Below are 12,385 nucleotides of genomic sequence, written 5' to 3'. Positions count from 1 at the left end.
ACTATGAGATCAACTTATAGGAAATAATGTCTGTAAAACAATAACACAGTTCTTGACTCCTAGTAGACAATCAGTAATTGATGTCAGCTATCCTGGTGGTGGTGATGGTGCTATTATTTGCTTCCTGTTCCAGGTGGCTTCTGGTTCCCTTGGGACTTGCCCTGTGTGCAGGTACAGTTCAGACCAGAGGAGAAGCGGAACACACCGCAGCATCCTGTGGGGTCCTGCATAGTGGAGTAAATGAGCCTGGGCATTTGGGAGAGGGCTAGGGGAGTGTTGGTGTAAAGGACAGCAAGCAAGTGGTGACAGCCACCGGCTATTAATACTTTTAGTGAGTTTCTGCTTCACTGCCGGTCATTTTTTCTCACACTTAACAGCTTGCACTGATGACAGGAAGCACATGCTTGTAAGCAGACCATCTCCTGCAGCACTCACTGCACACAGGGCCTGTCTCCACCGGGACTGAGAGCCCAGACTCTCCTGCCCACATCCTGCAGCTGGCCTGGGAGGAGGCGCCTGCAAGCTTCCTCCTTTGGTTATCTCTCTCTTGCTGCGCCTCTGCTGCTTTTCCATGTGATCAAAGCAACCTTGACATCTTTCCCCCGTGCAGAATTTAATTTCCTAACTGAGATTTTATATATAGCACAAAATAAAGTTCTTATGTCTCTGATCTTGCAAGATAACCCCCAGCCCCACCTCACCTGCACAGGAGCAGGGCTCCAATTGATATGATAATGCAGGAGAATGCAGCCCTGGAAGGATGTCAGGCACTTCTAAATATACACGCGTGCGGCCCAGTTCTGACTAGTGAGGGCTTTGATGTTAAATGAAATGGGATAATGATACGAGGAGAGTGACGCTGGATCACAAATCTTCTCTCCAACAGATGAGGACAAAAGTCAGCAAAAACCTTCCCAACTGCCTCCAAGCAAGGGAAAAGGGACTGCATCCTAGAGCTGCAGACAAGGAGGCCAAGTTAAAAAAATCAGAGTATTCTAGCTCAGCATGGCGCTTACTCTTCTCCACCAACCAGAGGTCAAGCTGGCAAAGGAGGTTAAAAAAAAAAAAGTTCTAAGCATTCTCTCAATGCCCCCAAATGTGGTGACTACAAGGTAAATGGGCCACCCTGGAAAATAGAAAGATCAACCTGAGAGACAGGAAGGAAGCCCAGCTGGCTTCCTCTGGCTCTGGGAGAGACAGGAAGAAATCTGGGCTCCAGCAGGTTGAGGGCCTCCCACTGGATATCCCGAGGATGTTCTCCTTCCCACTCCTTCCAAGACGGAAGGAGAACACCGATGCATAAAACACAATAGGCAGGCCTGGAACTGAGCCCCGGAGGAAGGCAATCATGTCAAACGGGGCAGGGAGGCTGTCAAGGAAAATTCACCCAATGATATTTGAGCAAGGGAAGTTAAGGGTGAGAGAGAGATACAGCAACTGCGCAGGGATGAGACACGCATATTCCAGGGAAAATACGCAAAGGAGGGGGGCGCATGGCACACAAAGGCCTGGAGAAGAGTGTGACTCTGTGAGTCCCTCACTCCAGAGGAAGGCTGGATAGAAACGTGAATGAGACTAAAATTGAGAGAACAGCTTTAAAAGAGAACCTTTAGAAACATCGAGTGCTAAAGCAACATTCCTAACAGAACTAGTAGATTAACAAAAACAACAGGGGACAAAATGTCCAGTGAGTTCCTGACACAGAGGCAGACAGGCTTGAGATGGAGATGGCGGCGGTGAATGCCTGAGAAAGGACCCAGAGAGGACAGCAGTCAGAGAAAGGACAACAGAAATGCAGAACAGACCCGGGGAGCCGTGACCTGACACACACATGTCCCTAACATGGAAACCCCACAGAAGGCGACAGGATGTCTTTGCAAATACACGATTATTTTCATTAACAAAGACACAGGAACTGAAAGCAATCCAAAAGGAGCACGCTGTTCAGAAAATGTTAATACAGAACCACGGCCATGGGAAGTTTCCTGGTTAACGTAATGAACAGGAAGGATAAGCAAAGAGTGCTTCAAGCATTCAGCTAGTCAAGCCAGGCCAAGAAATGACTGGGCAGGGGTGGATCACCTGGGCTCAGTGCTTTCGTCTCCCACCGCTCTGGAGCAGTGACGGAGGGCAATAGCAATGACATTGAGGGAAAATTCAGAGGGCCAGAAAGTCTTACTCAAGAACCCAGCCAGCTGGGTTCAGAAATAACAGTCACACATAAGGCCAGGTGCGGTGGCTCACCCTGTAATCCCAGCACTTTGGGAGGCCGAGGTGGATGGATCACGAGGTCAGGAGTTTGAGACCAGCCTGGCCAACATGGTGAAACCCCGTCTTTATTAAAAATACAAAAATTAGCCAGGCGTGGCACCGCACGCCTGTAGTCCCAGCTACCCGGGAGGCTGAGGCAAAAGAATCGCTTGAACCCGGGAGGCAGAGGTTGCAGTGAGCCGAGATCATGCCATTGCACTCCAGCCTGGGTGACAGATTGAGACTCCATCCCAAAAAAAAAAAAAAAAAAAAAAAAAATACCCAGATAAACATACCAAAAAGTAGGCTGCAACCATGAGACATTTAGAAAAAAAAAATGCCAACCCACTAATATGAACAGGGAAAGGGTAGGCCCGGGGCAACATTTAAACTAGGGGACAAATGGTTAAAACCCTACATTTTATGTTATGCATGTCTCACCACAATAAAGAAAAACATTTTTAAAATGCAGGAAAAAAAAAGGACAGTGGAGTGTGGATTTAAAAGTTCTAAGAAAAAGAAAAAAAAACTGTTTACTCAGCCAAGTTTCCCCTTGATTATATAGGTGGCAGACTGTCACGGCTGGCGGGAACTCGGGAATACGTCTACGGGACCTTTAGAGGGGAGAGGGGAGAGGGAGAATGACTTGGGGATGAAATGCAGCCAAGCAAACAAAAAAAGTAAAATAAAAACCCTGCCAGGAGAGTAAAAGCTGTTATAAAAAAAGACTCATGAGTATCAAATCCACTTAAATATAGAAAAAAGATAAAACCAGTGGGAATAATTGTTACAAAATAGAATGCAAATGCTCCTAACCTTGGAAAAGTCAGTATTATATATATCACCAAGAAAAATCAAGAGAAGTAGTAAGAGAAAGTTTAAGAATGCTGATTTCCTCATCTTTTATAATCGAGTATAATTAAGACCTTCTGAAATTGAGACGTGAGTTAAAAACATGAAGGCTCCAACTTCTTCGTGTTTTTCATATCTTGTTAGCCTTGCAGGGGCTCTTTTACAAAATAATATCTTTTGTGGCAAAGCAACATTTATTTGAAGATCAGCAATTCTTTTCATTTAAATACCACTTCATTTTCTTCTCTTAAATTGAAGTAAAATGTAATAAAATACTTTTATATTGAAAATAGGAGGTATCACAAATCCCCTTTTTATTGAAGGGAATTTCTTTGTTCAGCCCTGCTTGCACCCTTTTGTAGTCTATATGGCTGAGGTGAGGGCCCCTGGGGCAGGGGTGGTTATTGGAGAGCAGCTGAATCCAGGTTAGTTCAAAACATGTATATTTTTTCCCTCTCTCTCTTTCTGCATTATTTCCATTTCTTGTCATGAACAGGCTTCATTTTTACCAAATCAATGCAATTTGAGAAAAAAGAATAAAGAAATAAAGACTTAAAAGCCAGATGATGTATTTTAACATTGCGATTTGGGTTCTGGGGGGTGAGGGAACCTTCCCCTCTTGGGTCCACTCTCACGGTTGTGATTCCCTTCTCACAAGCGACAAAGCCTGCTCTTGAGAGCTGCTGATGAACTCCTCTAGGCCCACCCTGGGATGCCTCCCAGAGGACGGAACTCAGAGTCCTGAGGCCGCGATGGCATGACCAGAGGTCAGTAGCCAAAAAAAAGCTGGAGCTCAAGTTCAACTCTTGACCTCCAAGCAAATGCCCTTGAAAGCTGATGAATCAGTGATTTCCAGAATCATACTGCCTAACAATTACCAAGCCCTCAGCAGGCATTTCTTCCTGGGGTGTGTGGAGTAGTCAGGCGGGGCATGGGCCCCGGCCCAGGGCTGGCTCTAGGTGGACTTAGTGGCCTGGCTGGAGTAATCACTGCCCCTAGGCAGCCAGGCACCCTCCCAGGCATGTGCACAGGCAGAGGTGGCAGCAGCAGGACAAGGAAACTAACCAGCTCAGGCTTTCTCAGGCCTCTACTGTGTCCACTGACCAAAGAAGCCAAGAGGGTTCAATTCAGAGCCACGTGGGAGAACCGACTCTGCCTACTCAGTTTGGGGAGCTGCAAAAGTCACGTGGTGAAAACCACACAACCAGGAGGGCTGGGGAGCTGGTTGATTCTGTGTACTTGTGTCATTGAAATCACAAAGTCAGTCAGTTTTAGCTCATAAACCTTCCTTCCAGGAAGCCCCCTTACTATTTTTTTTTTTCTTTTTTGAGATGGAGTCTCACTCTTGTCGCCCAGGCTGGAGTGCAATGGGGATCTCAGCTCACTGCAACCTCTGCCTCCTGAGTTCAAGCGTTTCTCCTGCCTCAGCCTCCCAAGTAGCTGGGATTACAGGCGCCCACCACCACACCTGGCTGATTTTGTATTTTTAGTAGAGACGGGGTTTCACCATGTTGGTCAGGCTGGTCTCCAGAACTCCTGACCTCAGGTGATCAGCCTGCCTCAGGCTGCCAAAGTGCTGAGATTACAGGTGTGAGCTGCTGCGCCCAGCCCAGCTCCCTTAATATTGAGAGGGGACCCCAACAACTCCCTAACCCATTTACTCAAGGAGGGAGAAAGTTTAGCAAGAAGTTACCAATTTCTCTAGTTCAGGAAGATAAATTTGAGATTCATTTCCGCAAGCAGTGACCCCCAGCTCAGGTAAAGGATCAAAAGATTCCAGGAAGATTTTGGCTTCAAATAAAAGAAGCCAGGACAACCGTCATGCAGATGAGGCTCTCTCAAAGGCTGGTTGTGAAGCCAGCATGCATCAGACGGCTTGGAGGGGAGCGGGTGCAGGGCTCCAGCTGGGACTACCATTCCAAGGGACAGCACTGTGCCTTCTGTCCCCACTAGCTTGAAGGCCGCTTTGAACCCATGTGTCAGCAAACCAATGGGAGGCTGGGTGCGGGAGTGAATTCTAATCAACTGGGAGAATTAAGGCAGTAGAGGTAATTCCTTTGGGCTGCAGTAGTCAAGGGTAGCCTCTCTCAAGAGTTCTGACAGCAAACACGCATAAGCTGGAGAGAATTCCAGACACGGGGCATGTTCAGCAACTTCTCCAGCACACACACATACACAGAGAGACACACAGAGAGAGAGAGAGCTTTAGACTGAGTTTCATTCTCAGTTTTTCTAATTATTTGCCACAGAATCTTGGATGTTCACCTAACTCCTGTGACCCTCGGTTTCCTCATCTGTAAAATGGGCATCATGCAGTAGCCACTTCACAGTTACTGCACAGCTCAAAGATGCTGTTCCTAAGCTGTCTGGTATAGGGGTAGCCCTCATTGATGACAGCCCCTGTGAATATTAAGTAGATGTCAGGGGTGCAAGGAAGAACACAGCAAAACTGGGAAGGGCAATGTGTGCTGATACACCCTTATTTGGGATCCACTGTTTGCTCGGAAACTGTATTTCATTTTGTCAGCGTCTACCTGTGCTGGTTCTCAGGGAAGCTACGGAGATCTCTCCCCGCATTCTTCAACCTCCACTGCATTCTGATGCATTTAAAGGACAATTAGGCTGTGACAACTCACTGATGAATAACCGTGCTCTCTGCTAATCTTGTCACATTGGGTACTGGCTGGAGACATAATTACTACAACACGGTTGAACAGATTACACATATTAATGACTTTCCCTACTAAAAGATACAGAGCTGGGAGACCTGCAGCATCTGAATTCCCCACCCTCTGGGGTCTTTCCCAGTGAAAATGAGGGTCCAACATCAGTGAGTTACCATTGTGCTGCCAGAGCTCTGCCTCATTCTGATAGGGGATTTCCCTCCGTGCCCCATCCTCTCCATTCCTAGAGCTGAACTCCCGGCTGCTGGGTTGAGGGCTTTCCAAGATGATGGGTTAGAGACCAAGGCCAATGGACTGAGGATGGTGGCTTAATAATGTGAGCATTTGGAACTCTAACCGCAAGAAGAACTTCTGCAATGACAACGGCTCTGGGACTGAAGCTCTGGAAAGTTCACTTAGGCAAGCTCGCAGCAGCCTGAGCAGATGCATTCTCCCCGAAGGGCTTCAGACAACTCGCGCATCAGCAGCGGCTCCCCCTGCCCGCATCTGGACTCACCACTGTCAGCCGGGAGGATGCCACTCCCAGGCACTTTTCTGTGCATACACACACACACACACACACACACACACCCCTACTTGTATAAACATGCATCATTGTAAATGTCATCTTTACAAGTTAAACATCAGAACCATACTACATATACTTTTCTTTGCTTTACGCACCACCATTTTGGAAATACTCTTTTCTTGTCAGCCGCATGGTCTACCTCATTCTGCGTAATGGCTGCACCGCACTCCAGAGTAGATGTACGTTGATACTGCTTCAAATTTTCTCTTTATAAAAAAGTCTAGAATGAGCCTCCTTAACATCTCATGTAGACATCCTAATGTGCATATAACAAGATTTTTTTTAATTTAAGTCTAAAGCCCTAGAAGTAAAATTTCTTCAAGAGTATGTGCATTTTACAGTTGAACAGATTGGCAACTTGTATTCAAGAAGCTTGATGTTCACCAAGCTGCCCTCTCTCACACCGCAGATGAGAAGGCCTGTTTCTCCACATGCTTGCCAGCAGTGGGTATTATCAGTCTTTTTCATTTTTGCAAACCAGAGAGACAAAACAAAATACAGTATTATGGCTAAAATTTACATTCCCTTTGAAGTTGAGCATCTTTTCACACACAGATTCTGAATCTGTGAATTCTCCACTGGCATCCTTTGCCCATTTTTCTTTTAAATTATTTTCATTTTCTTTACTGACTTTTAGAAGCTCTTTATATAGAAAGATGGATAGTAAGTAGCCCCTAACTTCCTGAATATTGTTTTCCAAAAGTTGGTTATTTGTCATTTAATTTATTAGTGGTATTTTTCTCTTCTAGAAGTTATTTTTAGTTTTTGGTCAAATTATCTATAAATGTTTTATAAAAAGTGTCTGGATTATATACGCTCCCCCCAAAATAGTTTTATATATTGTCTTAAATTTTCTCCTAATGCTTATGTTTTTAAAAATGTGGCTGTTTAATGCAGCTGATTTATTTATTGCAGAGCAAGAGTTAGATATCTCATTTCATTTTTCCAAATGTGTAGTCAATTTTTCCAACACTGCTTATGAGAATGCTATATTTCCCCATGGATTTGAGAAACACAGATACAGGTATAAATTACCACAAATCCTTAAGTTTACTGTAAAATTTACTATTCTGTTGAGTTAATCTGTTGGTTGAGCCCTGTGCATGTACCATAAGTTTTCAATAAGTCATTGGCTTAATGGTATACCTTTTACTATTTGTTGATCTTTTATGTCAAATGTTTGCTTGGTTATTCTTGCGCATTTTCTCTTCCATTTGGATTTCCATTAAAAATCCAATAGAGATTTTGTTGAGATGTTCTGTAAGTTCATAGGAAGAGAGTTTACATCTTTAAATACTGAATTTTCCATTCAGACACATGATATTTATTTATTTAGGTCTCTTTTAATGATATTCATTTGTGTTTTATAATTTTTAATTTTCTTGTTACACATCTTGCATATTTCTTATAAAGTTTGTACTTCAATTTTTTATGTTTTGGGTTGCTGAATGCATGTCATATTTGTCGTTCCCATTTTCTAATTGGGCAATCCTGATTTACAGGAAAGTATTCGATTCTTGTGTGTTCATTTATATTTGTCTGATTACCACATTTTTAGGTTTGTTTCCTTGGATCTTCTCAGTACATACATGTTGCAAATGTGGTTTTCCCTTTCCAACACTGTAATTTGTCTTTTTAAGTCTTGATCTGTTCTTTAGCTACATCTGGTGTAATGTTGATAGTGGGAATTCTTGCCCACCTCCTGTCCTTAATAATACTGTCATAGCACTGAAGGTAGCTGTAGCCTCCCCCAGTTTCCCCACTTTTTCTCTGTCCTGACTGAGAAACACAGAGTGCCTTGACCGCTCTGTGACCCTGGCAGCTGCATGTTTTCCCCGCAGGCTTCACCCAAGCCGGGACCTTGAACATTCCCAGACACTGATAAAACTGTTGAGGTCCGTGCTCAAAAACACTGAGGCTAACCCTGTTGCTATTATACATGTAGAAACTAGCCCTGGCCCTGAGCCAAATGCCTTAAGCCCTCTTATAGACTCCACAACCTCACCCTTGCTATGGACATACCCAGGATGAACTTCTCTTTTCTTTCTATCCATCCCAGGGACGCTGAAGCTGTCTGTAAGTTCCCCTAATAAATGCATATTTCAGCCAAATATGTAGGTGATCATATATCTTGTTTCTCAATTAATAGTTAATATGGTGACTTATCTAAAAATTATCATCAATATAAAACCATCTATTCAGGATTAGAATGCTAATACCTGACTTGATTACTTACTTTGTGCCAGGGACTTTAATAAATACCACACATTACATATCATGGTATTTATTTCCTGGTTGTGACATACACTCTGGATGCACTGCCAGATCTAACTTGTCAATATGTTATTGGAGACTTTTGCCTCTATGTTCTAAAGTGGTGGGTTTTTTTCCTGTCCTCATTGGAGGAGTTTTTCCAGCTTCATGGAATAAATTGAGCAGCTTCTCCATCATTTTCTATGCTGTATGCTCTGGGACTTTTTATTAATATACAGTTTGTCTTTTTATAGATTTGGTTTTTTAAAATACCCTATAAAACTGTCTAGACATGTTGGCTTTTTTAAGGATACATTTTTTTACTGCTTTGAAAATTTCATAGATGGGTTTTCTATTGTTGCTAAATTCAATTTTGGTCATTTCATATTCCTGGAAAACTGTTTATCTATTATATTATTTTCAAGTAAATCTATAAAGATTTACATGTTTGAAAGTTTTTAAATCTCCCCTGTATCTATAGTCTGCCACTTATCTCATTTATAAAGAAGATTATTAGTCCTTAGAATTTCTTTTTGTTTTCATCAGAACCAAGAAGTTGAACTATTATTGTCAAAATATCAGCTTTTGGAAGCATTCCCTTCAAAACCTGCACAAGACAAGGATGCCCTCTCTCACCACTCCTATTCAGCATAGTATTGGAAGTTCTGGCCAGAGCAATCAGGCAACAGAAAGAAATAAACGGCATTCAAAAAGGAAGAGAGGAAGTCAAACTATCCCTGTTTGCAGATGACATGATCCTATATCTAGAAAACTCTATCCTCTCAGCCTAAAGGCTTCTTAAGCTGATAAGCAACTTTAGCAAAGTCTCAGGATACAAAATCAATGCGCAAAATTCACTAGCACTCCTACACATCAACAACAGGGAAGCTGAGAGCCAAATCGTGAAAAAATTCCAATTCACAATTGCCACACAAAGAATAAAATACCTACGAATACAGCTAACAAGGGAAGTGAAAGATCTCTACAAGGAGAACTGCAAAACACTGCTCAAAGAAATCAGAGACAACACAAACAAATGGAAAAGTATTCCATGCTCGTGGATAAGAAGAACCAATATTGTGAAAATGGCTACACTGCCCAAAGCAATTTATAGATTCAATGCTATTCCCAAGAAACTACCATTGACATTCTTCACAGAACTAGAAAAAATTATTTTAAAATTCACATGAACAGAAAAAAGAGCCTGAATAGCCAAGATAATCCTAAGCAAAAAGAACAAAGCTGGAGGCATCACACTTCCTAACTTCAAAATATGCTACAGGGCTAGAGTAAACAAAACAGCATGGTACTGGCACAAGAACAGATACGTGAACCAATGGAACAGAATAGAAAACCTATAAATAAGACCGCACACCTACAACTATCTGATCTTCGACAAACCTGACAAAAACAAGCAATGGGGAAAGGATGCCCTATTCAATAAATGATGCTGGGATGACTGGCTAGCCATATGCAGAAGATTGAAACTTGACCCCTTCCTTACACCATATACAAACATTAACTCAAGATGGATTAAATACTTAAAAATCCTGGAAGACAACCTACGCAATATCATTCAGGACATCAGCACAGGCCAAGATTTCATGACAAAGGTGCCAAAAGCAATTGCAACAAAAACAAAAGTTGACAAATAGGATCTAATTAAACTAAAGAGCTTCTGCACAGCAAAATAAACTATTGACAGAGTAAACAGAAAACCTACAGAATGGGAGAAAATTTTTGCAAACTATACATCTGACAAAGGTCTAATATCCAGCATCTATAAGGAACTTAAACAAATTTACAAGAAAAAAACAACCCCATTAAAAAGCAAGCAAAGGATATGAACAGACAAGCGGCCAACAAGCATATGAAAAAAAGCTCAACATCACTGATAATTAGAGAAATGCAAATCAAAACCACAATGAGATACCATCTCATGCCAGTCAGAATGGCTTATTATTAAAATGTCAAAAACGTATTATTAAAAAGTCAAAAAGTAGCAGATGCTGACAAGGTTGTGGAGAAAAAGGAATGCTTATATGCTGTCAATGGTAGTGGAAATTAGTTCAACCATTGTGGAAGGTAGTATGCTGATTCCTCAAAGACCTAAAGACAGAAATACCATTGAAACCTGCAATCCCATTACTGGGTATATACCCAAAGGAATATAAATCATTCTGTCATAAAGACACATGCATGCGTATGTTCATTGCAGCACTATTCACAAGAGCAAAGACACGAAATCAACCCAAATGTCCATCAATGATAGACTAGATAAAGAAAATGTGGTACATATACACCATGGAATACTATGCAGCCATAAAACCGAATGAGAACATGTCCTTTGCAGGGACATAGATGGACCTGGAGGCCATTATCCTTAGCAAACTAATGCAGGAACAGAAAACCAGATATCATGCGTTCTTACTTATAAGTGGGAGCTAAATGATGAGAACACATGAACACAAAGAGGGGAACAACATACACTGGGGCCTATTGGAGGGTAGAGGTTGGGAGGAGAGAGAGGATCAGGAAAAATAACTAATGGGCACTAGGCTTAATACCTGGGTGACGAAATAATCTATACAAGCAACCCCCATGACACACACTTACCTTTATAACAAACTTGCACATCCTGCACATGTACCCCCAAACTTAAAAGTTAAACAACAAAAAATAACATACCAGCTTTTTGGTTTTTAATTAACATTAGAATTTTTATTTGTTTCCATGTTATTAATTTCTGTTTTATATTACTTTATTTTTTCTACTATAATTGGTTTCATTTCTTATTCACTTTTCAAGTTTTTCTGTTGAGTGTACACTGTATTTTCAGTATTTCTTATTTTCTAATAAATATAGTTAAGGCAACATCTTTTCCTCTAAGTTCTTCTTTAGTTACATCCCAGGAATTGTGATATGGGATGAACTCTAAATTTGATTTGTAATTTTAATTTTCATGTCTTCCTTAACACAAGAGTAGATATAGTTTTAGACATTTTCTGCAGTTAATGTTTAATTTTATTGAATTATGGTAAAGGAAAATAACCTATTGGATTTTGATTTTTGGAAAATATTGAGATTTTCTTAGTGTTCAGTCTTACGACATGTTCGATTTTGTGACTGGCCTGTGGGTTTAGGATATACTATATATTATCTATTGAAAAAATATATATGTATATACATCCCGTTTACACAAATACACAAACACAAGTGTGATAAAACTTACTGTATTATTTTAAATCCTCAACAGTCTTTGATGTTTTTGTCCATTTCTGAGTGAAATATATTAATGTCATGCCTTGTAATTACAGCTTTACAGTTTGTATTTCTACCTCATTCTGCTGAATGTACCTCGAGGCTATGCTTTTAATGCATAAATTGCTGACACCTATTTCTTCTTGTAAAATTACCCCTTTTACCTGGGATGCCCTGGGGTAGCGGGTGATGGGGCTAGGTCTCAGTGGCTTCTGTAAGCTGCTGTCTGTTCACCTCATGGCAGCTGACCTGGCTCCCTGTCCTATCCCTGGCTGCCACCCAGCACAGAGGGAGTAGGGAGATCTTCACGCTTAGGAATTTGAATTATTTTTCCTCTGATATTGTTATGTCACCTTTATTTTTGTTAATATTTCTCTGCTACAGTTTTTCTAATTTATTATTTCCAACTTTTGCCATGTTACTTTGTGTAAGGTATGCTGTTTGCAAACTTCAATCTGATAGTATGTATCCATTAATAGGGAAGTTACCTTATTCACATTAAAAATGATCATCTGTA

At 41.4% G+C, this 12,385-nt stretch overlaps 1 long non-coding RNA gene across 1 annotated transcript, besides 1 other annotated feature; it reads left to right on the top strand.

Annotated features, from left to right (window-relative positions):
* Positions 8–207: an enhancer, noted in NCBI's record as "active region_16517". NCBI's record gives its function as "activates an Ori minimal core promoter by ATAC-STARR-seq in GM12878 lymphoblastoid cells {active_cell/tissue: GM12878}" and the evidence as "EXISTENCE:reporter gene assay evidence [ECO:0000049][PMID:35858748]".
* Positions 8,367–12,385, top strand: LOC124907888 (uncharacterized). The gene is made up of 2 exons (XR_007087233.1): positions 8,367–8,430; positions 9,154–12,385. It is a non-coding gene; the product is annotated as an uncharacterized LOC124907888 (long non-coding RNA).

Source organism: Homo sapiens, chromosome 2 (assembly GCF_000001405.40).
Source record: "Homo sapiens chromosome 2, GRCh38.p14 Primary Assembly".
In the NCBI taxonomy this organism is placed as follows: Eukaryota; Metazoa; Chordata; class Mammalia; order Primates; family Hominidae; genus Homo; species Homo sapiens.
Note: the sequence above shows the minus strand (reverse complement) of the source record. Positions and strands in the feature narration are given on the sequence as shown.